At 45.4% G+C, this 27,777-nt stretch overlaps 1 protein-coding gene and 1 pseudogene across 24 annotated transcripts, besides 2 other annotated features; one reads left to right on the top strand and one right to left on the bottom strand.

Annotated features, from left to right (window-relative positions):
* Nucleotides 41-90: an enhancer, noted in NCBI's record as "active region_18422". NCBI's record gives its function as "activates an Ori minimal core promoter by ATAC-STARR-seq in GM12878 lymphoblastoid cells {active_cell/tissue: GM12878}" and the evidence as "EXISTENCE:reporter gene assay evidence [ECO:0000049][PMID:35858748]".
* Nucleotides 43-26,028, top strand: SETD4 (SET domain containing 4). Of its 24 annotated transcripts, none has more exons than XM_011529643.2 (13): nucleotides 43-222; nucleotides 1,645-1,753; nucleotides 3,092-3,185; nucleotides 3,365-3,460; nucleotides 6,949-6,986; nucleotides 12,173-12,261; nucleotides 14,558-14,987; nucleotides 16,613-16,787; nucleotides 18,681-18,762; nucleotides 19,914-19,994; nucleotides 22,296-22,419; nucleotides 24,318-24,484; nucleotides 24,609-26,028. In XM_011529643.2, coding segments are annotated over exons 3-12 (1,251 nt in total). In that variant the 5' UTR covers nucleotides 43-222; nucleotides 1,645-1,753; nucleotides 3,092-3,184; the 3' UTR covers nucleotides 24,453-24,484; nucleotides 24,609-26,028. The 24 variants fall into 24 exon arrangements, 22 of the variants coding, with proteins under 22 accessions (XP_011527945.1, XP_011527946.1, NP_059134.1 ...); XM_011529644.2 differs by having other exon boundaries at nucleotides 43-287; XR_007067790.1 differs by lacking the exon at nucleotides 3,092-3,185 and adding an exon at nucleotides 23,889-24,051 and having other exon boundaries at nucleotides 1,596-1,753; nucleotides 24,318-26,028.
* Nucleotides 121-270: an enhancer, noted in NCBI's record as "active region_18421". NCBI's record gives its function as "activates an Ori minimal core promoter by ATAC-STARR-seq in GM12878 lymphoblastoid cells {active_cell/tissue: GM12878}" and the evidence as "EXISTENCE:reporter gene assay evidence [ECO:0000049][PMID:35858748]".
* Nucleotides 8,382-10,546, bottom strand: RIMKLBP1 (ribosomal modification protein rimK like family member B pseudogene 1; annotated as a pseudogene).
* Nucleotides 26,029-27,777: the final 1,749 nt, after the last annotated feature.

Genomic DNA, 27,777 nt, shown 5'->3' with positions numbered 1-27,777 from the left:
CGCGAGCCGGAAGCTGCCGCCCGCGGCGGAAGGGGCGGACCCGGGAGACTGAGGACTTGGATTGCTTAAGGACACCAGGCAGGCGCGACAGCCTTCAGCCTCTCCCTCTGCAGTTTTGGCCGGTTCCTTTAACTTGCCTTCATCTGGGGCTGTTTGGTATTTCCACGTGCCTTGGGCCCGCCCACTGCAGCCTCCATCTTGGAAGCGGCCGCCGGCGCCTAGGTGAGCTAGTAGGACTTCCGGGTCGGGCCTCCAGTTGCCCGGGTAACGGGAGCAGAGTCGGCGGGGTGCGTTCCTTAGTCTTTCATTCATCAGCGTAAAAAGAACTGAGTTTAGGTCGCAGGTCCCCTCCAGGGCAGGCATTATCGTGTGCGCTGCAGTAACCTCTCATCTTGTGGAGTCCTACACTTAGCGCATGTTGCTCCGGCGCGCTGCGTAAAGCTGAGGAGCCTGAGGCCCGAGGTCCGATGCTCGCCTGGCTGGCCTATGGCTGCGGGAGCGGTGTGTGTCGGACCGTAGGACGGCCTCACGGCTAGAGTTTGAGGACTATGGGGGCGGGGACGGTGCCTGTGTCTGTGGCGGTCACCGGGCTTCACGTGGTCCTCAGCAGGGTGATGGTGGACAGCTCGCGCGAGGGCCCGGGAGTCTTGGGGACACTTCCCGGCGCGGTCTGTGGACTGAGCGCTGGGACCCGCACCGAACCAGCCGCCGTTCGCCTCTGGAGCTGGACATGCCGACTTTCGTTAGGTCAAATAATGAACCTTATACTGCGGAAGTGCGGTATTAATATTGCCTGGAGTTCTTGTCTCTTGCTCATTTCTGCCCTCGTATGTTTTAGAAGTAGATTTATTTTTTATTTTTATTTTTTTAATTTATTTTTTGTGACAGAGTCTCGCTCTGTCGCCCAGGTTGGAGTGCAGTGGCGTGATCTCGTCTAGCTGCAGCTTCCGCCTCCTGAGATCAAGCGATTCTCCTGCCTCAGCCTCCCCAGTAGCTGGTATTACAGGTGCCTGCCACCACGCCCGGCTGATTTTTGTATTTTTAGTAGAGACGGGGTTTCACCATGTTGGCCAGGCTGGTCTTGAACTCCTGACCTCAGCCCGCCTCGGGCTCCCAAAGTGCTGGTTTTACAGGCGTGAGCCACTGTACCCAGCCATTATTTTATTTTTATTTATGTATTTATTTTTTTATTTTTTTGAGACGGAGCCTCGCTCTGTCGCCCAGGCTGGAGTGCAGTAGCGCGATCTCGGCTCACTGCAACCTCCGCCTCCCAGGTTCAAGCGATTCTCCTGCCTCAGCCTCCCAAGTAGCTGGGATTACAGGCGTGTGCCACCACGCCTAGCTATTTTTTGTATTTTTAGTAGATTAAGCTGTAGTCACTAGGTCTGCAAGATAAAACTGTTTTAGAGGGACTGATATAATGGGAATTCTGTTACTGTAGGGATCATGATTTAGCTCACAGTATAAACGTTTCATGTACAAAAGCACTTGAGAGAAACAGTTTACCAAAACATACATTTGTATACTTAAAGGTACAAAGAACAGTGATTATCATATAACTGGAAAGTAAATCAAAGAAATGTTTTTTATTTTAGATTGAGCATTTCCACAGAAATTACAGTTTTGTCCTTTTTGAAAAAATAGAACTGTATTTCAGAAAAAAGAAACTACAGTTTTAGCATGCAGAAAGGAAAAGGGAGAACAAGCCGGATCAGAAGACGAAAACTCTGCGGAAGTTCTGAATCAAGAGGAGGTATGGTTTTTCTTTTAGTACCAGTAATGAAAAAAGAAATCCTTTTGTGATTGCTTGTTTGTTCATACGTAGCTTTTCTTTCTTTCTTTCTTTTTTCTGAGACGGATTCTCGCTCTGTCACCCAGGCTGGAGTGCAGTGGTGTCATCTTGGCTCACTGCAACCTCTGCTTCCCCGGTTCAAGCGATTCTCCTGCCTCAGCCTCCCAAGTAGCTGGGACTACAGGCGTGAGCCAGCATGCTCGGCCTAACACATAGCTTTTCTCAAAGGCACACAGTGTTCAAAGAGAATCTTTCTTTTTTTTTTTTTTTTGGAGACAAGGTACATTCTGTTACCCAGATTGGAATGCAGTGGCGTGATCATGGCTTGATCTCCCAGGCTCAAGTGATCTCCTCCCTTAGCCTCCCTCCTGCCTCAGCCTCCCAAGTACCTGGGACTACAGGTACATGCCACTGCACCCGGCTAATGTTTTTTTAAATTTGTTGTAGTGACAGGGTCTATGTTGCACAGGCTGGTCTTGAACTCCTGGGCTCGAGTGGTCCTCCTGCCTTGGCCTCCCCAAAGCACTGGGATTACAGGTGTGAGCCACTGTGCCCAGCCCAAAGAGAATATTTCTTAAATAACACTCTTTTTTAATGGTGCCATTGTATTCTTTTAGATCCTGGTGGGAATGTGAAGATAACTAACTCATTGTTTCAACTGTCTTCTCTGGGGATGACTCCCAACTTTCTTTTTCTGGTCTTGACCTTCAGCTATCTGTAGGATATCAATGTTTGGATGTAAATTTATGACTTCAAATTCAGGGTAACCCTGTCTGAAGAAGATACTGTATCTTGTTCAATACAAAAGTGCTTGGCCATCTGGAAAGTCCTATGTAAATCCAACTGGATATGGTACAAGATATCGATAAGCTCACTTTTTTTTTTGCTGATGGAGGTCCAGTTGTTTGATCATCATTTATTGAAAAGACTATCTTCTTCCACTGATTTGCCTTTGCACTTTGTCAAAAATTTACGTGTGGACCTCTTCCTATTTTCTGTGTTGTTCCTTTGACCTATTTGTGTCTGTTTTGACAATATCACACTAATTTGATTACTGTAGCTTTATAATAAGTTTTAAAATCAATCTTTCAAAGATATTGGGGCTATTCTAGGCTTTTTACATTTCCACATGAATTTTGGGATCATCTTGTTAATTCCTGTATGAAAGCCTGCTTGAATTTTGATTAGGATTACATTGAATGAATATAGTCGTATGTTGCATAAGTATGTTTTGGTTGATGGATCACATGTACAGTGGTGGTCCTCAGATTATAATATTGTATTTTTTTTTTTTTTAAGAGATGGGGTCTTTCTGTGTTGGGCAGGCTGGGCTCAAACTCCTGGCCTCAAGCAGTCCTCCCGCCTTGGCCTCCCAAATGCTGGGAATACAGAAGTGAGTCATTGCGCCTGGCCAATACTGTGTTTTTATTGTAACTTTTCTATGTTTAGATACACCAATTCTTACTATTGTGTAAGTCTGTCTGACACATTTCATCAGACATGTTCTTTTAAAAATGGTAATCCGATTATATAGTGGTTTTAATCACCATTTGTTCTCTCCTTGCCTGATAGTGAATGAGAGCCACAAGTCTGAATTTATAGAGCTGAGGAAGTGGCTGAAAGCTAGGAAGTTTCAAGATTCAAACTTAGCGCCTGCTTGTTTTCCAGGTAAGATCTAGCCTTCAGCTGTCCTGCCCTTTCCCACACGAGAGCCAGGTAGACAGCAGGGGCCACTCTTGCAGGTGGGCCTCAGCAGATATTGTCCTTCAGCTGGTTTGCATGTGTTCCCCTTGGGTTGGAGGAGGAGTCCCCTGTGTATGGCCAGTTAATTGCAGAGCAGTGGGCTTCAGCACTGAACTGAGGTAGACTGACATTCTTCTCTGGAACTTGTGCTTATTAGGGAGGTTAGGTTAACATTTTGCCAGGCGTGGTGGCTCACATCTGTAATCCCAGCACTTTGGGAGGCTGAGGCAGGCAGATCACTTGAGCTCATGAGTTTGAGACCAGCCTGGCCAACATGACAACATCCTGTCTCTACTAAAAGTACAAAAGTTAGCCAGGCGCGGTGGTGTGCCCTGTAGTCCCAGCTACTCTAGAGGCTTAGGCAGGAGGATTGCTTGAGCCCGGGAGGCTGAGGCTGCAGAGAGCCATGATCATGCCCCTGCACTCCAGCTTGGGCGATAGAGTGAGACCTTGTCTCAAAAAACTAACAAAAAACAAAAACCACTTTCTTCTGGAACATTCTCTCACAGAAGTTGGGCAGCTTGCTATGGGTGTGTGCCTGCATACATGGCCACTCCACTCTTCCCACAGGTGGGCAAGAGATAACCACAGGGAGGACCAAGATGCTCTTTAAAAGGATTTGGAGTCTGCTGTAGCACAGAGATAGTGGTGGTGCAATTAGGGCCCCAAAATTCTACATCACAGGGCAGGCTGCATCTTACAGAAAAGTCAAAGCATATGCCACACAATGCTCCCCTTGGCCATTAGAATTATTATTCAAGTACCCATTAGGTAATTGAACTTTGAGCAAATTAACTTCCTCATATACCACACGCCAAGGCAAATGATTTCCCACTTGTGCCCCTTGCTGAGTGAGGTGATGTGTGTAAAGTTGTTCTCCATGAGTCAGTTACACATCATGACTTTGAACTAAAATGCTTGATTTGAGCCATTTTCTATTAAGGCCCCTTCTAGTTGATGGTCATGAACCATATTGTCAGCCTCTAAAATAATGCTTGACTTTCTGTTTTTGTGTGTCAAAGATGGTCAGTAAAAGCCACACCCTTAGATGTACAGAACAGAGTTTTTCCCCAGATGATCAAGAGAGTCAGTAGTGTCAGCAGTAAACTTGCCGTGTCTAAGGCCTGCCCACATCTCTGGTGTCATTTGCCCTAGGAAGGATGGGTTTAAAATCATCAAGCAGGAATCAGCAGATGGTTTAGATGGAATACCTGAGAATAGGTCATCTGTTTGTAATTTGGAGCAGTAAAGAGTTCCTATTTTTAAAAGTGAGCACAACTTGCCCTGGCCCCAGCCCCAGATTTCGGGTGATGCAGGTGGCTTGGCAGTGACCCGTGCCCAGTGCTTACAGTTCTGGGGAACCTTCTGTAAGTGCTTCATGTAGTTTTTAGCTCTTAATCAGTGTATGATAGGAGGTAACATTTCTGGGCTTCAGTCAAAATGTATGAACTCTGGGGAATTCATCTTAGTTTGTGGAGGGGCACAGGAAATCTCCTAAGCAGGATTCCATCTTTAGACTCTCTCTTCTTTTCTGCCTTGGGAACTGACCGCAGCATTTCCTTTCACCACCAAAAGCACTAGCCAGGTCAGGGCCTCCCATGTAGATTGATGATAGTGGAAATTTTGAGGCTTTGAGACATTTGTGATAAGCTTTACTCTCATGAGCTCCTAATGGCCACTTCTACTTTGCCTAGTATATCCAATATGAAAATGAAAGTAAGTGTAGATTACTATATGTTTTTTGATATTAAACACTATCTACCATATAAATATAGGTAAAGGATCTTCTAGATGTATTCCATAGGCCAGCTTTTGTTCATATATATGTTTGGAGAGAATTTCCACTTAGATTAGCACGTAAGTTTTTGGAAGGATAACCAGGTAGAAGAAAATCTTCCCATTAGTCATTGATTCTAGGAGGAGTTCTGGAGCACAGGGATGATTAACTCCACAATGGGGTACACAAAATCAATGAAATAAGTTAACACTAGAACCAGCTGTATAAGCAGACAGTGTCCTCCTGGGAGGGGAGATGAATTGGGACTCATCAAATCCAACTTGCTGGGAAACTGATGGAGGACTTGAGGCAGGAATTCCCACCATGAGCCAGGAGCATCAAATCCAACCTGCCAGGAAGCTGATGGAAGACTTGAGGCAGGAATTCCCACCATGAGCCAGGAGCATCAAATCCAACCTGCCAGGAAGCTGATGGAAGACTTGAGGCAGGAATTCCCACCATGAGCCAGGAGCATCAAATCCAACCTGCCAGGAAGCTGATGGAAGACTTGAGGCAGGAATTCCCACCATGAGCCGGGAGCATCAAATCCAACCTGCCAGGAAACCGATGGAGGACTTGAGGCAGGAATTCCCACCATGAGCCAGGAGCATCAAATCCAACCTGCCAGGAAACCGATGGAGGACTTGAGGCAGGAATTCCCACCATGAGCCGGGAGCATCAAATCCAAGTTGCGGGAAACTGATGGAGGACTTGAGGCAGTGAGCCACCGTGAGCTGGGAGCTCCCAGTAGTCCTGCACTGACTTGGCTGAATTATTTTCCCTCCCAGCTAAGAGAGGAAAGGTGAAGAACGATGAATTGGAGACGTTAATGCTCTAGGCCTCTTATGACCATGTAATACCTATGCCTGCCAGAAAAGCTGTCATCTGAGCATCCTTTCAATGTTTGTCTGACTGTTCCAGGAGCAGAAGCTTAGGCATGAAGGGAGAAACTTCTGGAAGTTGGTATTAATTTTTAAATAAAGGAATTTATTGAATTAATTGGTATTAATGCAGCTGCTGAGGTTACTATGGTGACTGTGCTCCAGCCGGAGCCTTGGCTCACAGGGAACAGCTGGAGCTGACCTACCCAGCTGAGCTCACCAGGTCATGGAGAGCCCATCTCATGGGTTACCTGATCAGAGAGGGGAGGATGTCTGCAGGCTTTGTGGGGACTTGAGTGGGGTTTATTGGCCAGTCGGCCAATCAAAGGGGTCTCAAGGTCTTCACTTGGGAGAGCTGAGTCTGGTAATGGGGATAAGTGGCCTGGGGCTCTAGCCTCAGAGGTTGGCTGGGCATTGGGAATAGCACCTTGTTAGCTGGTAGGCCCCAGTGGAGAGAGTCCAGCCCAAAGCGTCCTGCAGGAGGCCCAGCAGTAGGTCTGTATAAAGTCCACGGTGCTCTTTAGGTCTCACCTCTGAAGCTGACTGCCCTTCAAGGATTATAACTCACTGGAGGTCAAGACATTTTCTGGAATAGCTTTCTGACTCCCTGTTTCCCCTGGGAATCAAAGGCTGAGAGACATCCAGCTTCAGCCTTGTGTAATTTTGAAGTTCACATTTTTTTTTTCCATAATAGTTATCTCTGGGACCTTGAAGTTATGGTAGGATTTACTCTCTTTCTGTCTTTGCTTTCCTAGGTACAGGAAGAGGGCTGATGAGTCAAACATCCCTGCAGGTGAGAACTGTTCTTTGATCCTTGAAACCCAATGTAGATTTTGCTGCTTTGTTTTTGCGGTTCAAACGAAGTGAATTAAAAAAATTTCAGACATACAGTCATTTCTTACTTACCTAATAGATATATTTGAATATGGTTCTATCAACTAGGATTAAGTTTGTTGCAATAAAAGACAAGCCCAAAATTGAGGTGCTTAAGCAGCATGGAAATTTATTTTGTTCTCACTCATAGAAACAAGCTTGGAGTAGGCTGACCCTGGCTGGTGGGGCAGTCCCATGGCTGGCAGAGGCCCCAACTCCTTCCAGCTCTCTCATGTCCTTAAGGGAACTGCACCCTCAGGTCAGGTTGTGGGTCTTGGAACTTGGGCATCAGGAGAGAGCAAGCGGGTGAGGAAGGGCAGGCTTCCTTCCTTTAAGGAAATTCCAGTCCCTCTGTCCTTGGCCAGTGATCAGGTACACAGCCCTAGCCAGCTGCAAGGGAGGAGATCCGTGCTGGCCTTTCCCCAGCCACGTGCCCTCTAAGTAGGATTCCGTTAGCGAGGAGGGGGAGAGAAGGCGTGTTGGGATAGGCAACTAGCAATCTCTGCCACAGCACATGTTACATGTCAGATCACGTTTTCAGTATGCCAAGGGAGCTGCTGCTGTCTGTGAGGCAGTCGTGATGTGGCAGGTAGAAACCAGAGCTAGGGGAGGATGAGGCCTCAGACTTGGGCCAGAGTTGCCTTCAGCTGCCTGAGGCCCCAGCATGAGACCCCTCATACTCTTGGCTCCTGTTTCCTCACCTACAAAATGAGGAAGTAAATGACAGCCTCCAAGGTTTCTTTTCATTCTTCCAATGCTATTTTAAAGATCTCTAGCGCACGATTTTCTGTGAAGCCAGAAATTAATTTCTTCCTTTATTTAAAAATTATCTTATTTTAAATTCTCTATTTAAAACTTGCACTCAGATGTGTACATATGTTTAGGCTAAGGAATGGTATCTTTTTTTTTTCAGTAGATAAAACGTCCTTTTTTTTTTTTTTTTTTGAGACAGAGTCTTGCTCTGTTGCCCAGGCTGGAGTGCAGTGGCGCGATCTCGGCTCCTTGCAACCTCCGTCTCCTGGGTTCAAGCAATTCTTTTGCCTCAGCCTCCTGAAGTAGCTGAAATTACAGGCATGTGCCACCATGCCCAGCTAATTTTTTTTTTTTTTTTTTTTTTTAGTAGAGACAGGGTTTCACCATCTTGGCTAGGCTGGTCTTGAACTTCTGACCTCAGGTGATCTGCCCGCCTTGGCCTCCCAAAGTGTTGGGATTACAAGCATGAGGCACTATGCCTGGCCCAAAAGTAATTTTACTTTTTAAAAATGTTGTGTTAAAAAGAGAAGTTTTTAAAATATTAAAGGAAAGTATAGTTTCTTTAAAATGCAAGCATAGTCAGCAAGGGAATTCAGGTTATCTTTCCTAAACAGGTGAAAATCACAAACACAAGAAGTCCAATATATAAAGAATGGTATGTTTTAATGTTGTAATTCTATTACGCCGTGTTAATGTTTTCATCATTTAAAAATTTTTAATTGTAAAATATATGTAACATAAAACTTTTTTTTTTGTCATTAAGAAGCCTTTATTGGGTTATATTCACTTTGACCCTCCCACCAAATTAAGAGGGAAAAAACGAAAAACAAAAATAAGAAATCCCAGTAAAAGAGCCCCTCAAGATTTCATAAACTACAAACTAAAGCTGCTAGTTAATAAGGAAATGGCAGAATTTTCAGAGCTGTATAATACAAAAATTCCTGTAATTTAAGCAGATGTTTTCCTCACTGATGACAAATCTTCCAACACAATGTGAAGTTATGCTACTTGGATATTTGTAGCAAAACCATTTTTTTTGTACAAAAACAAAAGCAAGGGACCATGAAAAAAAAAGTATTTGTTCCTCATGGTCTATGAGCATACAAATTTTTTAGCAATTTAAAAGGGTAACTGACAGCCTGACATTTTTCTATACCCCACCTATTCTGCCTCTCTGTAGGATTTGTAAATGAAAGTAACATCTTACTAGCGGGGGTCTCGTCTATCTCCCACTCTCTCCAACTAATCCTACTAATTTTCTCTCATCTTCCTGAGCATCCTCCATGAACAGCATTGCAAGTTGGTTTTAAAAATAGAAAAGAAAAAAGAAAGAAAGTTTTACAAGGGTTTTGTTGGTTAATTACCAGTGGAGTCAGTCCACCAGTAGTTTGATTTCATTGGCTAGCAGCTGGTTCATGTTGAACAGTCACCCTGGGAGTTTGGTGAGCAGCTCTCGCTCCATGCTTTCAGGGTCACTGTCAACAGAGCTGGAACTTGCACTTATGTTGTCAACAGCAGTGCTGGCTGGGGGACCCAGCTCCAGCTCACTAGTCTCACTGGCAGTGGACACCACAGAGAGCAGGGACATACGCTGGGTGAGCTGGCCAGAGGGTAGAAGGGAGGCAGTATAGTCTGCTCTGATACCAGCTACATCTAGATTACAAGCCTTATGAAAGACGATGAAACCTACATTTGCATTGGCCTCACAGACACAGAAGGAGCTGCCATCTTTCATCAACAGGTCAACGCCACACACATCCATCCCCAGGATATTAGACACCTGGATAGCTAGCTGCTTCCCTTGTTCACTCAATGAACACATCATCCCCACACCACCTAATGAGCAGTTGCTTTGCATTCTCCCATCTGTTGAACAATGTAACATGGTGCCAACCACATGGCCTCCCACGACAATGACACGTACATCCCGTCCATGTGACTCTTTAACATACTTCTGGAACAAGTATGGCGCTTCATGGCAAATAAGATGGCTTAGATCAGCCAAATGGTGCTTATCTCGAGCCAAGAAAACAGCTTTACCTCTATGACCCCGCGTATTCTTTACTACCATTGGGAACTCCGGTACTTGAGCTTCATCAATCATTTTAGCAAAATTTTCATGGCCACCATAAGAGAAAGTATCCGGCAGAGGAACACCATGGCCAGCCAACTCTTGAAATGTCCAGAACTTATTAACGCAGTTCAGGATGGCTTGAAGTCGGTTCATTAACTGGCATCCCATCTTCTCTAGATGGCGCAAAACAGTGATGTCACTATCACTTTGCACCCAAGGGGTTGGTACTCTGACTACCACCACTTGTGGGTAGGCAGTGATTAGCTCTCCATTGATCCGCAGACCCAAGTTTCCTTTCTCCATTGTCAGCACCACCTCATCCATCACCACAGCCCTAAAGTCCAGTTCCTCCTCACAACATTTGGCCTTTAATGCTCGTAAAATCTCTGTTTGAGGATAGTCTTCCCTGATGGGACAATCTATCAAAAACCACAACTTGGCAGCCACGTAACTACAGATCTTGATCAGCTTGTGCTTCCTTGCCTGGATTGTTTCCTCTTGGATGTAACATCTACCAGTTGATTATGGAAGATGAACAGCCAGATATAGAGGTCTGCAAGAGTCCTGAGCACAGGGGCTTCTGTCCCCGAGTTAGAGTGCACCACCCTCCTAGCAGGTGGAAGCAGCCCACGAATCCATAAACCCGGAAGCTCATCTAACATAAAACTTACCATCTTAACCATTTTGAAGTTCAGTAGTATTAAGTACATTCATATTGTTGTACAATATTTTTGTTTTTGGAGGAAGGTGTAATTGACTTTATTCTGTAGCAGAATTTGGGGATGAGAAATGTCATGTATGCAGCAGTAACTACAGGTAGTTTTTGTTTAGGTCATGAAATAATTGGCAGTTGTTTCACATGTACATTCAAATATGGTTGTTTTATCAAAAGTTTTTGAAAATTGAGACATATTTTACATATAGTGAAATGCACAGTGAAGTGTACAGTTTGCATTTTGATGATAAAGAGATTTACCCAAATATTTTCAAACCAAAAGATCATAGGATGTTGGAATGGGAAGTGACCATAGTGATCATCCAGCTTAATCTTGCTTTACAGATGAGGAAACCAGAAATTGATCCCGGAAGATTTTTTGGCTGAGATTTTTTTTTTCTTTTTTGAGACGGAGTCACGTTCTGTCGCCCAGGCTAGAGTACAGTGGCGCAATCTCGGCTCACTGCCACCTCTGCCTCTCGAGTTCAAGTGATTCTCCTGCCTCAGCCTCCCGAGTAGCTGGGATGACAGGTGTGCACCACCATGGCCAGCTAATTTTTGTATTTTTAGTAGAGATGTGGTTTCATCATGTTGGTCAGGCTGGTCTTGAACTCCTGACCTCAAGCGATCCACCTGCCTCAGCCTCCCAAAGTGCTGGGATGACAGGCATGAGCCACCGCGCCTGGCCTTGGCTGAGATTTTTAACCAACTTAGATGCCAGTTAGAATTAAAGGAGAGTCTTACATCTGGCTTCTTCATGCAGTGTTTATTTAAACTGTTTTCTATTACTTTACATCTAATTTTTCTTTCCATGGTTCTATCTCCGTGGGAGACACTGAAAACGATACTCTTGCAAGTGGTAGAGTTCGACGCTTACTGTGTTGGGCATGCTGGCCTTTCTTTAGCTCATAAGCGTGGGTTATGTAGAGAGCAGACCATCACCTGGCCACTTGGATTTCACTGGATACAATTTTTTGGGGGTAGTTTCTGTCTGTTTACTATTGGTAGCACTATTTCCTGGCATAAGAAAGTGAAGAAATAGGTGAAACCCTGTCTCTACTAAAAATACAAAAATTAGGCACCATCATGGTGATGGGTGCCTGTAATCCCAGCTGCTTGGGAGGCTGAGGCAGGAGAATCGCTTGAACCTGGGAGGTGGAGGTTGCAGTGAGCTGAGATCACGCCATTGCACTCTAGCCTGGGAGACAAGAGCAAAACTCCATCTCAAAAAAAAAAAAAAAAAGTGAAGAAACAGTATAATTTGAATTGTCAGCATGTTTCCACCACTCATTCTGGTGAAGGGTTGACTGCTTGTGGGTGTCAGTCACATAATTGACCTTTCATTTTTGTTGGGGCTGTGGGGCCTCGCCTTGGAGCAGCCTCGTGTGCATCTGCTGACTCGCAGAGTTGGGAGCGACTCCATTGGTAGGCTCATTGGTGGCTTTTGGTTGAGTTACAGTGGGTTACTGGTAGGTGATTGTGGGATCAACGACTTTGTAAGACTCATACTCATGGGTCCTTCCCAAAGCATAGGCGTCCTCAACTTTACTTTCCTTTTGGCCAGGAGGGACAGATGATTATTTCGTTGCCTGAGAGTTGCCTGCTCACCACGGACACAGTGATTCGAAGCTACTTAGGGGCATACATTACTAAGTAAGTGACCACACACTTGCTTACCTGGTGCAAGTGCTTCTCCTTAAGGTCTGTCAATGGCAAATATGTCACTTGAGACACAATTCATTAGAACCCAGTCCCTTGTAGAGCTGATAAATAACCTGAATGATGTGAAAAGTTTACTCCATTCTAGAAAGTTTGCCCTCCCTCCCTGCCTTCCTGCCTGCCTGCCTGCCTGCCTTCCTCCCTCCCTCCCTCCCTCCTTCCCTCCTTCCCTCCCTCCCTCCCTCTCTTCCTTCCTTCCTTCCTTGTCTCTCTCTCTCTCTTTCTCTCTCTCTTGCTTGAGATGGAGTCTCACCTGTTGCCAGGCTGGAGTGCAATGTCGTGATCTTGGCTTATTGCAACCACTGCCTCCCAGGTTCAAGTGATTCTCGTGCCTCAGCCTCCCAAGTAGCTGGGATTACAGGTGCCTGCCACCACGCCCAGCTAATTTTTTTTTTTTTTTTTTTTTTGTATTTTTAGTAGAGACAGGGTTTCACCATTTTGGCCAGGCTCGTCTTGAGCTCCTGACCTTGTGATCCACTCGCCTCAGCCTCCCAAAGTGCTGGGATTACAGGTGTGAGCCACCGTGCCCGGCCAGAAAGTTTGTTCTTAATTCACTGTAAATGGCATTTCTAAGGTTTTTAATAGGCTTCCTGGAGTGTGGGTATGATATCCCGATCCATCACTGACTAAGAAATAAAAATTAAATGGGATAATATATGTAAATCACAGCTGAGTGCCTTGGCTCATAGTAGCCTCTTCTCTTCCATCATAGTAGCTCTTGACAAATGTAAGTTACTCTCTCTTATTTCTACCGTTATTGTACTTCAGTTTTCCTTGAACTTTGAAGAGCTGTTAATTTTGTGAAAGAATTAGTTTTATTTAGGTATAGAAGAGAGGAGGCTGATGGGGAAGAACTGTTTTCTGGCACACGTTCTGCTGGGCCTTTGTTTTGGGGCATCTTTGAGGACAGAGTGAGAGCGACCCGCAGTGGAAGGGATTTCTAAATACAAGGGTTGAAAGAGTATACCGTTTTTTTCTTTCTTTTTTGAGACAAGGTCTTGCTGTGTTGCCTAGGCTGAAGTGCAGTGGCGTGATCTTGGCTCCCTGCAACCTCCACCTTCCGGGTTCAAGCAGTTCTCATGCCTCAGCCTCCCAAATAGCTGGGATTACAGGTGTGCGCCACCATGCCCTGCTAATTTTGTATTTTTAGTAGAGATGGGGTTTCTCCATGTTGGTCAGGCTGGTCTCAAACTCCTGGCCTCAAGTGATCCACCCACTTTGGCTTCCCAAAGTGCTGGGATATAGGCAAACGGCCACTGTGCCTGGCGTATACTGTCTCTTAACCATTAGGTAAGTGCTGGTCTTTTTTCCCCCTGGCATGTTTTTGGAAGAGAGTGAATAGGTCTTTTAGGCCTGTGTAGAGACAATGATGCTGTCATTGTTAACATTTTCTGAATCATTCTGAAATTTTGAGTAGAATGTATGGCAGTATAGGAATCTGGATGTCGAAGGATTGATGAAAACTTTCTAAATACATTCAGGCAACATGAGATCTTTTTATCGGCAATTGTGCAAGTAAAAATACTGTGATACATAATTTGTAATAGAGCAGGTAAACTTAGGAATAAAAGCTTTAGAACTGCAACAACTGTATATGAGCATATTCAGTTTTGGTTTAGGTTGGTGCCCTCCAATAGAGCTTTTAGCAATGACAGATGTTTTTTATGCATTGTCCAGTATGGTGGCCACTAGCTCTGAATGGCTATTGTGCAATTAAAACATAGCTTATCTTACCAAGGGATTGAATTTTAAATATTCAATTCTAAATAATTAAAGGTTAAATTTAAATAGCTCTGTGTACCCAGTGATTACTATATCGGATGGTGCAGGTCTCAGTTCTTTCCACCATTTTTTCCCCACCATATTTTATATCTTTACATAGGTGAGACAAATGGACTTAGGTCAAAAGGTTTACAACTGGAGAACCAAGTTGGAAGCAAAGAGGTTTTTTTGCAAAGAGGAATCTCTTGCAAACAAACCTGGAACTTGGCTTAGTGAGTCAGTTTTTCTGACATGTAAGTATGGCTCTTTCAGAGCACTAGCACTGGGGCTGTGCTCCCCTGGAGAGGAAGAGCCTTAAGGAAGGAAGGAAGGAACTCTTGAGTCTGTTAAGTAAACTGAGTGTGTTGACAGTTTGAACACACTCCTTCTGGCAGCAAAACAAACTGCTTGGCTTATTTCGTATTTTGAATCAAAGTAATTCCTTTAAACTGGCTTTTAATTTTCAAAGGTGGAAGCCTCCTCCATCTCCTCTGCTGGCGCTGTGCACCTTTTTAGTTTCAGAAAAGCATGCTGGGCACCGATCTCTTTGGAAGCCTTACCTGGAGATTTTACCCAAGGCGTATACCTGCCCTGTTTGTTTGGAGCCGGAAGTGGTGAACCTTCTTCCCAAATCTTTAAAAGCAAAGGCTGAAGAGCAGAGAGCCCACGTGCAGGAGTTCTTTGCTTCCTCCAGAGACTTTTTCTCTTCTCTGCAGCCTCTGTTTGCGGAGGCTGTTGACAGCATCTTCAGCTACAGTGCCCTGCTGTGGGCTTGGTGCACCGTCAACACCAGAGCCGTGTACCTGAGGCCCAGGCAGCGGGAATGCCTTTCTGCAGAGCCGGACACCTGTGCACTCGCTCCGTACCTGGACCTGCTGAATCATAGCCCACATGTCCAGGTGAGAAGCTGACAAGGGAGCAGCTATTCTATTTGGATAGGAAGGCTTCCGCTGCCCAGAACCTGTGGCTGTAGATGTGGGTGGCACCACAGGGAGAGGTGTCGGCGGCTTCAGGTGACCCTGTCAGGTTGGCCTGACGTCAGGAGGCTCCTGTTGTTCTTCTAGACCCCACTATCCCTCCCGCAGTGCTTGCCTTGGCCCCTTTTCTTCACTCTGCTCTTCAGGCCTACAGAGCCTCGTGCTGCATCCTCTGTCCGGTCTTTCCCAGCAGCCTGTGGTGCGGAGCCTTCCTTCCTTCTCCCTCGTTCCTCCTTCCGGGACTGAAGCTTAGCTTGCTTTCCTGCCCCGTCCCTTTTAAACTGGTGTTGTAGCTGTCACAGCATTTCTCTTCGCTCTGATCGCTGACTGACTTGCTCTTTTTCCCACTGAGCTCTGAAATCTTTGAGAATGGGGTCTTTGTCTTGTTCCTCTTTGTCACCTCAGTGCTCATGGCAGGGCCTGGCACATAGTAGGTGTTCAGTAAATGTTTATTGAATGGATGGGTATTTGTGGGGAAAGGGTTCTGGGAAATAATGAAAGAAACCTGATTTGGGAGGTGGTCACAGATCGCCTCCTCCCCAGCGCTTTCCCCAGGTGGCTCATTTAGGAAATGAGTGTATTTGCAGGGCATGCAGGGGTAGAGGCCTGGCTTGGAGAGCGGAAGAGAGTCCATCAGTTGGCTCACCTGTAACCACTTTGGGGTGTGTTGTGGAGGGACATGGCTGGGATCTGTGTCCTGGCCGTCGCCTTCATCTGACATTCCACTGGAGAAGAGCAGCCATGCCTTGTGAGCCCACGTGCTAAGCTTTCGTGCTCTCTACGTGAGATCAGAGCTTAGGGAGGTTCCCGCTCTGCTTTCTTAGCCCAGGAACAAGGGCTGTCTGCTTGTTACTTTTGTAGAAAGAAGTATCTTTAATAATCGGGAGCAAAGGAGCCTGGGATTAGGTGAGTGTTTCTGTGGTTGATGTTGACGAAATAATATCAGGAGTGTGTAGTGTGATAGGATGCTAGACATGGGGACTCCGTCAGCAGTGATTTATTTTTATTGGGACTTTTGGTGCATTTATGTGCCAAACCAATGAGTTTATAGTTTACTGTAGGAAGACCACAGCACGAACTACAGCCTGTGGGCGTGTGGCCCAAGAGCCCTGAGCTAAGAATGGTTTTTACACTTTGAAAGGATTGTGAAAATACAACAACTTGTGACAGAGACCACATAGTGCTGGCAAAGCTGAACGTATTTACTCTCTAGCTTTTTACAGATAAAGTTTATTGGCACCACCATGTCCTCCTTCCCTGGGCTGTGAGTGGACGTGACCAATAAACTGCTGATGATCTCATCTGTGCTGTGTCGGGTGTCGTGGTGTGGCCACCCCCAGAGCCCTAGGGCAGGACTCCCTCCGTCATCAATGGGGTGAAGTCGAGGTGGATGAAACCGGAAGTGGCATTTTCCCTATGCGTAGTTACATTTATTGATGGGTGTTTGAAAGCTGCACCTGACTCACATTAATATTATGTAATAACTTAATCAGCTTTGGAGTTTTACACCTTACTTTAAAAAATACCTTAACAGTTTTTCTTTCTAGGTAAAAGCAGCGTTTAATGAAGAAACTCATTCTTACGAAATTAGAACGACTTCACGTTGGAGAAAGCATGAAGAGGTATTCATCTGTTACGGCCCTCACGATAATCAACGGCTGTTCCTGGAATACGGATTTGTTTCTGTCCATAATCCTCATGCTTGTGTTTATGTCTCAAGAGGTTGGAATCAACTTTGTTCTTAACATTAACACTATATAATTTTTTTCCCCATTTGGAGATGTGTATTTTCAGTTTTAATAAAAATATCAAAACCTTAAGACTGACATACATATCACTAATTTTCTTCTAGGTAGGCCTAGCCTTACTCTTACTGGCTGTAATTTCAGTGTTGAAGTAAAAACAACGAAGTTTTGACTGATATTTTGAGAAGTTTTCATTGCATTGGGTCAGAAGATAGAATGGAAGAAAAGGAAAACTGCTAAGGAAATAAATACAGTATTAAAGGATGGAAATGTTTATACTGAGACGTTGTCACTGGCACTAAAGAAAATAGGATTAGAGAGCAATGAATAAAAAATATTTATTAAGCACCTACTGTGGGTAAGACACTGTGTTAATCACAGAGATAAATCTACCTATAGTCCTTGTTTCTGGAGGTTGTTGCCATGGTGAGATTTGATTTCATGTATGTTCTTTTGTGATCTATTAACCTAGCCATCATCATTGATTTTATTATTTTTGAGTCAGAGTCGCACTCTGTTGCTCAGGCTGGAGTGCAGTGGTGTAATCTTGGCTCGTTGGAACCTCCGCCTCCCAGGTTCAGGTGATTCTTGTGCCTTAGCCTCTGGAGTAGCTGGGATTACAGGCACGCACCACCATGCCTGGCTACTTTTGTAATTTTAGTAGAGACGGGGTTTCGCCGTGTTGGCCAGGCTGGTCTTGAACTCTGGCCTCAAGTGATCTACCTGTCTCAGCCTCCCAAAGTGCTAGGATTGTAGGAGTGAGCCACTGTGCCTGGCCTGGTTTTATTATTACTATTTTTAATATTTGTTTTTTCATATGATAGAGACAGTGTCTTGTTATGTTGCCCAGGCTGGTCTTCAACTCCTGGGCTCGAGATCCTCCTGCCTCAACCTCCCAGAGTGTTGGTATTATAGGCGGGAGCTACCGTGCTTGGCCCAGTTTTATTATTTTAAAATAGTAAGTTAGCCATTACACTTAAGATGTGAAAATTCCAAATATAGTGTTAAAAAAGTACATAGAAGACTGATTTTTCCCTTTCTGAAACTGTAGAGAAGCAGTTTTCTAGGCCATGAAAAAACGGCAAGAGCCTTATTAAATATATAATTTGAAGCATTTTTAAATATAGATTTGATTGGAGATAGAAACTTGGCCAAGCTGTTACTACTCCATCTTATAGGCAGAATAATAATGTGATTTCTCAAAATAAAAATAGAAAAGCAAAAACTGGGTCTTGCTGCTAGAAAACCAGCTTCGAGATTGGCTTCATGTTTTCAAAATCCTGATAAATTTAATATTGATGTCCGCGAAGTATTCATTTGTTGAATAAATTAATTTGAGCAAAAATTATATTTTAGTTATATTTACATTTTTAAAATAAAATAGAAAAATCCCTTATTACCCTGCTTCTCCAAATAGCTCTGTTAATTTGTGCATATTTACTTTAAGTTTTTTGTAGTTGCAGTCACTAATATCCAGACTGCTTTGAATTCTGGTTTGGAAAAAGCTCAGTATTGTAAACCTTTCCTCATGTTTTTGCAGGGCCTCTACTTTTGTTGACTGTAAATTTTCAACAGTCATGCTGATGTCCTAATGACCTGCTTGTTTTTGGTGGATTTACTTAGTGGGAGCAGGAGCTGAGGTTATGCGTGTTTAGTCCTCCAGCCTTGAAATTCTTACAGCCTTTCAGGGACTCAGTACTGATGTGACTGAATTGGACTTGAAGAGTAGATTTCCTTTGTGTGAATTAGGTGGAACTGTTTATGCATGTCTGGGTTGCTAAAGGGAAAGGAAGTGAGTTGAGAAGGGAAGGGAGACATACTTTTGTCCAAATTTATGCCCTAACAGTCTGATTTTTTTTTTTGAATATAGAAATACTTGTTAAATATCTTCCATCAACAGATAAACAGATGGACAAAAAGATTTCTATTTTAAAGGATCATGGCTATATAGAGTAAGTGTTTCTCTTTCCCTCTTAAAATTATTCCTTTAGGAAATTTTCATGGAAAACCTGGGGTTAAATTTTCCATGGGGGTGAGACCCCTCCTGACCCTGTATCAGCTGACGGGTAGGTATTGAGCACTTACTATGTGCAGTAAAACTGCGCTTGATGTTGTGGAGGACAAAAGGAGTATAAGACACTTGAAAGAAACTTCTTTAGGGACATAAGATACAAGCTAGAAATATTAAATTATGGTACCAAAAGAGAGCTTGGATGTGTTGATGGGTGGCCCAGGGTGAGTCTGTCTCCCTTGTGGTCATGTGGAAAGGCCAGGCTGGGCCTCAGGAGAGCCCACGCACCTGGCAACATGGTGCAGGCTCTTGGGGTAGGTGGGTAGCGAGGTGATTCCATGCCAAGTGGCTAAACAGGGTTCAAGGCTCTCCCTTTCAGATTTTCTTTTCTGGATGAAATGAAGTTTGAAATGATCCCGCCATGGTGTGAGAGCAGCCTGGCAGTGGTGGCTGCCATCAGTGGGATGCCCAGGGTAGTTCCAGTTCTTAAGCGTTTCTCTTACTGGGAACTCCTGTGCATGGGCCCTGCCTCCGGCCCCTCATCCATGGTTAAGCTCTTTTTTTTTTTTTTTTTTTTTTTTTTTTTTTGAGAAGGAGTCTTGCTCTGTCGCCCAGGCTGGAGTGCAGTGGCGCAATCTCAGCTCACTGCAAGCTCTGCCTCCCGGGTTCACGCCATTCTCCTGCCTCAGCCACCCAAGTAGCTGGAACTACAAGTGCCTGCGACCACGCCCAGCTAATTTTTTGTATTTTTAGTAGAGATGGGGTTTCACCGTGTTAGCCAGGATGGTCTCGATCTCCTGACCTCGTGATCCACCTGCCTTGGCCTCCTAAAGTGCTGGGATTACAGGCGTGAGGCACTGCGCCCGGCCAGCTGTTTACTCTTTAGAAAAAAAATGGGGAGAGAATTTCCTGTTACTTAGGCTTTCTTCTTAAGTATTTGCAGACTGATTTTCTCTTGTCCTTTGGCCGAGGTTGCAGGTTACATGACATTTAGCAACCTCTTTAAAAAGGTGTTTGGCTCTTCAGTCATTTGCTATGAGGTCATGAAATACTGAAATGATGGATTTGTCATTATTTGTTTTTCTACTTCAGAAATTTGACATTTGGATGGGATGGACCATCTTGGAGGCTACTCACAGCCCTTAAGTTGTTATGTCTGGAAGCTGAGAAATTGTAAGTTTCACATGTGTTGGTCTTAAGCTGTAGCAACAGGCTAGATATAACTTTGGAGGGTTGGTTTGTTTGTTTTTGGCTTGCATTCAGATACCCAGCCAGGGAGGAAAAAGGGATGTCATACATTGGAGTTGCTTTCTCATTATGTAACTTGCCCATGTAGCGAATGTTTCATTTCTAAGTTTTAACCGTTTTGGAATTCTGGTTTTAGACTCAGCATACATAGTTTTGATAATCTTTTTGTTTCTACTCATATTTTCCTTCTGGTGACCTGAAATCCTTTAAAAAGTGTGGGCATTGGCACTGTTCAGAGGAAAGTCTCTGAGTAGGTAGGTTTTGCCCAGGACAAGTAGAGCTAGAGTCCCTAACGTCGGTCCTGCCCTGGGGGAGATCCAGAAACCTGGCTGAAGAGCTGGACTTTTCCATGGGGGAGGCAGGTCGGGGAGCCCCCGGTGTGGGTGTGCATCCTGGCCAGGCTCCCTCATGTTCCTGCCTGCTGTCAGTCCTGCTCCCTGCAGCCCCCTGTCGACACATCCAGCTGTGCTGTACCCAGTGTAGGGGCAGCTTCAGCCTGAGTCCCTGGCAGGGAGAGCAGCCTTCAACCTTCTGCTGCTAGATATCCAGGGAGAACCTCTTGAAGATGGTGCAGGCTGTCCTTGAACAGTTGGGAGGACTGACTGAGATGAGGCACAGTGCCTGGGAGCAGTCGGTGCCCCTTCAGTGACGCCTGTTCTTCTTTTGGATGAGATGATGTTGCTTCCTTCTTTTTCTCTAGGAACTTTTGGAGTAAAATTTCTCTCTGGTCTCAACACTAGACATAGTTTTTGTTTTTATTCTTAGCAAATGGAGTGTTTTTATCTTACAGATACTATGAATTCTTTAACCGATGTTTCCTTCTTTTCCTTGTTCACTGGAAAACTGAGAGGCAAATCTGAGGTGCATGCAAACGTACCTAGTGTTGGGACATGCGGTTTCGCACTGGCCCATTCCTGCAGTGTCTTGTCTTTTCTCCTTTTGTCTTCCTTTGTCTTGTTTTCTGCCTTCATTCATCTTACCTTTTATTTTGTGTGTACTTATGTTAGCTTCTTTAAATCCTTCTGGCAACAAGGTATGAGTCCTTTTCGGACACTTCAGCCTAAAATTAAATACAACAACTGGCTGTTTCCCAGAGGTCTTCCTTAGGCCTCTTTTCTTGCATTTGAGTTACCGCTTACTGAGTGGGTGTGGAGAAAGCACGTGTGGGGCTCTGGCTGGGGCGTTTCAGTTCTTTCTGCCTCACTAGCTCTGTCACTCAGGGTGAGTGCTTCAACTTTGCTGAGTGTTTCTTTGAGTCTAGCATGCGGATTATCGTGCTTTCTTTGCTAGGTAACTGTGAAGATTAAATTAGGTAATGGTTATTCATGAACACCATGCCTGACACACAGTCATTTCCTTTTTCTTTACTGAGAACTCATTTCACCTGTCATCTCTGAAACTGAAGCCTTCTGAGACTATTCCGGGCTGTGTCTTGCCAGCTGTTCTGAATCTAATGGGCTCCTGTTTACTTCCACAGCAGCCATCTTTCCTCCCCTTCGAAGCCACTTCCACTTCCAGATTCTCGGTGTTCAGAATCCGGTCCTCCGTCGTCTTTCTCCCGGTAGTTCTTCTTTCTAGTGTCTAGGTCTGGCGCTGCCACCTCTGCTCCGCATCCTGCTGTGGCTCCCTTGCACCTGCCACAGCAGACCTTCCAGAGTGGGCCCTGCCTGCTGACTGAGCCCCGTTTCCTGCGAACCTTTGTAGTAGAGCACTGGAATGACCTGCATGGGGATAGAGGCTTGCTGTAGATTCCTCCTTCCAGACATGGAGCATTTGGCTTTGTGAATTGTGCCCAGTTTGCTACTATTTTGGACAGACGGTCACTTGAAGGAAAACTTCTGCCTTTGCTCCTTAGTCCTCTGCCTTTCGGCTGTGGACTCGCCCTCCTGTTCTGTCACTGGCTTCGTTCCCATGGCCGGGAACGGGACTTCATTCACTCATGGGTCAGACACAGGTTTGTGATGATAATAACATTCAGCCCTTGCCTGCAGAGAGTACCCACCCCCCGTGCTTTTATTCTCAGCTCCTCCTCCTCCTCTCTCATTACCTGGTCGGCTTCCACATGGGAGCTGCAAGTGGCATGGAGGTTTGGGGAATCTGCTTATGGAATGAGTTGTATTATGCTCCTGGAGAAATAGGAGAAGGAGTTTATGTGTTGCACTGAAACAAAAAAATCTGTTTTTTGAGAGCCTGCTAAAATTGTGTCATGGAACATTTTGGTTCTAGTACATGCTGGAAAAAAGTACTTCTTGGGGAGGTAATTTCAGATACGAATGAGAAGACAAGTTTGGACATAGCCCAGAAAATATGCTATTATTTCATAGAAGAGACTAATGCTGTGCTTCAAAAGGTATGTTTCTAGAATATGACATCCTTAAAGAAGTGTCTTGATTCAGCAGTTCCTTGTTTTGTACATGTTATTAGGGATAGTGCATTTCATAAGAGCATTGTTTAGTGCCTTAAATAAATAAATGTTGATGTAATCTCTATTTTTGTTTTCTTTGAGATGGAGTTTCACTCTTGTTGCCCAGGCTGGAGTGCAATGGCACGATCTTGGCTCACTGCAACCTCCACCTCCCAGGTTCAAGCGATCCTCCTGCCTCAGCCTCCCGGGTAGCTGGGATTACAGGCACCCGCCACCATGCCCAGCTAATGTTTGTATTTTTAGTAAAGACGGGGTTTCACCATGTTGGCCAGGGTGGTCTTGAACTCCTGACCTCAAGTGATCCACCCGCCTCAGCCTCCCAAAGTGCTGGGATTACAAGTGTCCACTGCGCCTGGCCTGAACCACCGCATCTGGGCTCCATTTTTGACTGTTAACATAGTACCTATGCTTTTTCTCTCAATTTTTTATTTTTATTTTTTCTTTTTCTTTTCTATTTTTTTTTTTTTTTTGAGACAGAGTCTTGCTCTGTCTCCCAGGCTGGAGTGCAATGGCACGATCTCGGCTTACTGCAACCTCCGCCTCCTGGGTTCAAGTGATTCTCCTGCCTCAGCCTCCCGAGTAGCTGGGATTACAAGTGCCCGCCACCACATCTGGCTAATTTTTGTATTTTTAGTAGAGACAGGGTTTCACCATGTTGGGCAGGCTAGTCTCAAACTCCTGACCTCAGGTGATCCGCCCACCTCAGCCTCCCAAAGTGCTGGGATTACAGGCATGAGCCACTGCACCTGGCCTCTTTATTTTTAATTGGTCAGTAAAAATTGTATATATTTATAGTGGACTACATGATGTTTTAAAATAGGTATACATCGTGGATGGCTAAATCAAGCTATTTAACATATGCATGATCACATATACTTATTTTTTTTGTGGTGAGAACACTTAAAATCTGCACTTAGCAATTTTCAAGTACATAATATATTGTTATTAACTGTAGTCACCACGATGTACCATAGATCTCTTGAACTTAATCCTCTGGTCCAGCTGAAATTTGGTGTCTTTTGATCAACATCTCCCTAATCCCTCTCCAACCCCTCAGCCTCTGGTGACCACAATTTGACTCCCTGCTTCTATGAGTTTGATGATTTTAGAGTCCATGTATAGTGAGATCATGCAATATTGGTCATTCTGTGCTGGCTTATTGCCGTGTGACAGCATGTCCTCCAGGTTCATCCACGTTGTCACAAATGACAAAATTTCCTTTTTTATAAGGCTGAATGTACTTCACTGGGTATATATGCCACTTTTTCTTTATTCATCTGTTGATGAATACTTAGGTTGATTCCATATCTTTGCCTTTACTTTTTATTAAAAGGCAAAAAGTAAAAGTTACTGTGTGACTTCAAGCATTCTTTCTCATTGATGTGTTTATTTAGTAAATGTTTTAGTTAAATGAGAAATCAGCTTATTCGTATGAAAACATGCCTGGGATTTAAAGAGTGATTTTAATGAAGCTTGAAGACATTATTGGAAATGAAATAAGCCAGACACAAAAGGACAAATGCTGTATGATCCACTTCTGTGAGGTTCCTGGAACAGGTGAGTTCGTAGAGACAGAGAGTGGAGTAGAGGTGACGGGGGGTTTGGGGAAGAGGGGAATAGGGTTATTGATGTATGCTTGTAGAGTTTCTGTTTGGGTGATAGAAAAAGTTCTGGAGCTGGAGAGTGGCAGTGGATCTAAACAATGTGAATGTACTTCATGCTGCTGAACCATACACTTAAAATTGGTTAAAAAGGTACGTACGTTCTGTGAAATATATATATATGTTTTACTACAATAACAATAATTAAAAAATAACTTTCAGGTGTCTCATATGAAGGATGAAAAAGAGGCCCTGATAAACCAACTAACTTTGGTGGAATCCTTGTGGACGGAAGAGCTAAAGATTCTCAGGGCATCTGCCGAGACCCTGCACAGTTTGCAAACAGCTTTTACCTGATTTCACCGAAGCGCATTTGGTCACCTCCTCTGGTGGGTGTTAGTCACACATTTTAGACTAAGGTTTGATGGACTAAATTTATATAGTTTAGAGTCGATGAGTTGTGTCTACTCAACAATTAGGAACTTAATCCTTTTCCTTTTGCTTTTCCTACAGAAACAAAAGTTAATTTTGAAGAGCATCATCATGGGCTGGGGTGGTGGCTGCCCCCAGGACATGCAGGATTTCTGCAGGGGGCAGCACAGGTTCTGGGATTGTGAGGCTGTGAGTGAAGGTGGACAAGCTGTCTGGATGGCAGGTCTAATGCTCTTCCGAATAAAGTGCTGAACTGTGAGGAGAGAGGCGGACTGTGAGGCAGCCAGGAGCCAGCTGCGTCCGTGTGTGGTCTGTCACCACGGGGCCTGCTTCTTATCTGACACAGCAGCTATCAGAGTCTAGTGGTTGTGCTTTTAAGATGCTCTGATACCATTGGGTTAAGGGGCAGATTGGCGGTGGGTGTGGGGCAGTGTGAGGTAGTCCTGGATCCCCGCCAGGGTGGCCCAGACGCCAGCCCTTCCCTGTGTGGCTGCACTGAGGTGGGTGTTGAAGAGCCCCCTAGGGGACACACAGCTTCCAGGAGGAGGGAATGTCCTCTAAGCATGCTCCTGGCCTCTCAAGGTGGCGCTTGTCTAATTATTCACTTGGGAAGAATGACTAGCTCAGCCAGCGGCTCTTTCTGCTTTGTTCTGGCGACTTTCCTGGGCAGGCCTTTCCACCTGGGGAGCTGGCTCATCCTGCACAGCTGGGCCGTGGTGGGCCTGTCTGCTTGATTCTGGGGTTCAGTGTAGGTCAGCTGATGGCGAACCATGGTGGTGGTTTGGCTTCTGTTCTTATTCTTGAGTTTTGATACCACGCAGACCTTGGGTGGGGAGAGCTTCCTGCACAGCTCTCAGCGGCCTGTGGCCTTGGAACTGCCTGCGTAAGTAACGGAGGGGCTGCTGGTCCTGTTCAGGCCCGTGCTGGGGACGCCGCTTAGACAATGTTGCCCAGAGTCCTGTTTACCCTCCCAGGGTTCATTCTTCCCAAGAACTCAAATTCCTTTCTCATTGGAGCCTAGTGAAACCAAATGAACGGGACCTGCTGGCCTCAGGAGGCAGGCAGAGTTTAAAATAAAACTTTCTCATGATTTCTTGAACATCTTTCCCTGTTTGTATATACACTTTGTGTTTATTTTTCAGTAGCTGCAGTATATTTTTTTTCAATATTCAGTATAATGCAGTGTATTTCATCATATGCTGTATGGAGAGTGGGCAGACTTCTGTGGAGGGCCCGATAGTAACCATTTGAAGCTTTCTGGACCTGTGGTCTTAGTCCCAGCGATTCTGCAGAGCGGCCATCGGCAGCATGTCAACCATTTGCATGGCTGGGCTCCAGGGAAACTACTGACAACGACAGGTGGTGGGCCATAGTTTCCTGACCCCTGTGCTATGCCAGAATTTCTTTTTCCTCTTCCCTATGAGTGGACCTAAATATGTTAATTCCTTTTCACCTTTCAAAACGGACAGCCCCTTGAACATTAAAAACTTCGCAGACCCTACATGGTCATTGTGCTTTCCTTGTCCAGTGATTAGAAAAACTGCGCAGTGGGTGGGCGTGGTGCTCACACCTGTGATCACTTCAGGGGAGGCTGAGGTGGAGGATCTCTTGAGCCCAGGAGTTCTGAACAGCTTGGGTGATGTAATGCGTCCCCCCGCCCCACAATCCCGTTCCTACAAAACAATTTAAAAAATGAGCTGGGCAGGGTGGTCCGTGCCTGTAGCTGCAGCCACTCGGAAGGGTGAGGCCAGAGGATGGCTTGAGCCCAGGAGTTTGAGGTTGCAGTGAGCCAGGATCGTGCTACTGTACTGCAGCCTGGGCGACAACTAACTGAGTGAGACCCTGTCTCTAAAAATAATAAAGCAAAATTAAAAAATACACAGTGACAAAAAGCAGCTGCCCAGAAACATGTACAACTAATAGTTCATCAGCACAGCAGATCTGCATTTATTTACAGCTGAGTAATACTCCATCAGCACAGCAGATCTGCATTTATTCGAAGAATAGTATGAGACTGTAGACAATGCTAGTTATGTGAAGTCACGGACCCCTTGCAAGAAACCTGTGGCCCCTTGTTGGGCAGTCTGGCCACAGGGTGAAACCACCGCTCACAGTCCATACGCTTCCTTTCGGCTGCTCTTTTGTTTTGGACTCAAAAGACGCTGGTGGCAGGCTGTTCTCGTCAAGTCATTCTTAGGGCAGCAAACCCATCTGTCCCCATCTAGGGTGAGGCAGCGTGCAGTGCTGTTTAACCGACGGCGCTATTTTCTTCCTTATTGTCTAATCACCACCGCCCTCCCCGGACTCCCCCTAGCCATCTTTCTTTCTTGGTTTTCTCTTTGCTGGTGCTTTGGGTGGGCCTGAGGCTCCTAAAGACTCGCACCCCTGTTGGTGTCTAGTTCTGAGTTTGGGTGGTAAACCTCCAACTGCTGACTTGGCCCGAGGGGACAGACAGCAAGAAGTTAAGGGCGATTGGAGGCATTCCTCGATCATCTTTCCAGCTAAGGATAGAATAGGCCCTCCTCTGTGGAGGGTGTTCCTCAAGGAGGGAGGCCCTCCTCTGTGGAGGCTGGCAGTGATGTTTGAGGAAATAGGTCTGTAATTGTGTGAAAATGACTTTCTCACCGAAACTCCTGGCCGTGCCCCTTGAGGGCCCATGGGGTCCAGCAGAGGCGATTCTGGCTCCTCCTCGGTGGTCAGCTGCTGCCTTCCGTACTATAGGTAAATGCTGGGCGGCAGGTTTTGTCCCGAGGGGGAACGTGTAACAGAACCCATGACTTGTGGGCTGATATTTGAACAGCCTTGTCAGGAATGCCACCTGTGGGATCCCTTGTAAAAGAGCTTTCTCCCACAGTACAGAAAGTCCTGTGGGAACTAAAAGGAACAAAACGGAGGAAGGAAGGCGCAGGGACAGTGCATCTTTCTCCAGCCCGGCCAATGTATCCATGCATCAGCCCCCACAACAGGACAGCGACCCCCACACATCAGTGCCCCACAACAGGACGTGACCCCCACACATCAGCGGCCCCTACAATAGGACAGCAACCCCCACACACATCAGCCCCCACAATAGATCAGCGACCCCCACACACATCAGCGCCCCACAACAGGACAGCGACTCCTCACATCAGCGCCCCACAACAGGACAGCGACCCCCACATATTAGCGCCCCACAACAGGACAGCGACCCCCACACATCAGCGGCCCTCACAACAGGACAGCAACCCCCACACACATCAGCGGCCCCCAC

The sequence above is a fragment of the Homo sapiens genome, chromosome 21, assembly GCF_000001405.40.
Source record: "Homo sapiens chromosome 21, GRCh38.p14 Primary Assembly".
Classification (NCBI taxonomy): Eukaryota; Metazoa; Chordata; class Mammalia; order Primates; family Hominidae; genus Homo; species Homo sapiens.
Note: the sequence above shows the minus strand (reverse complement) of the source record. Positions and strands in the feature narration are given on the sequence as shown.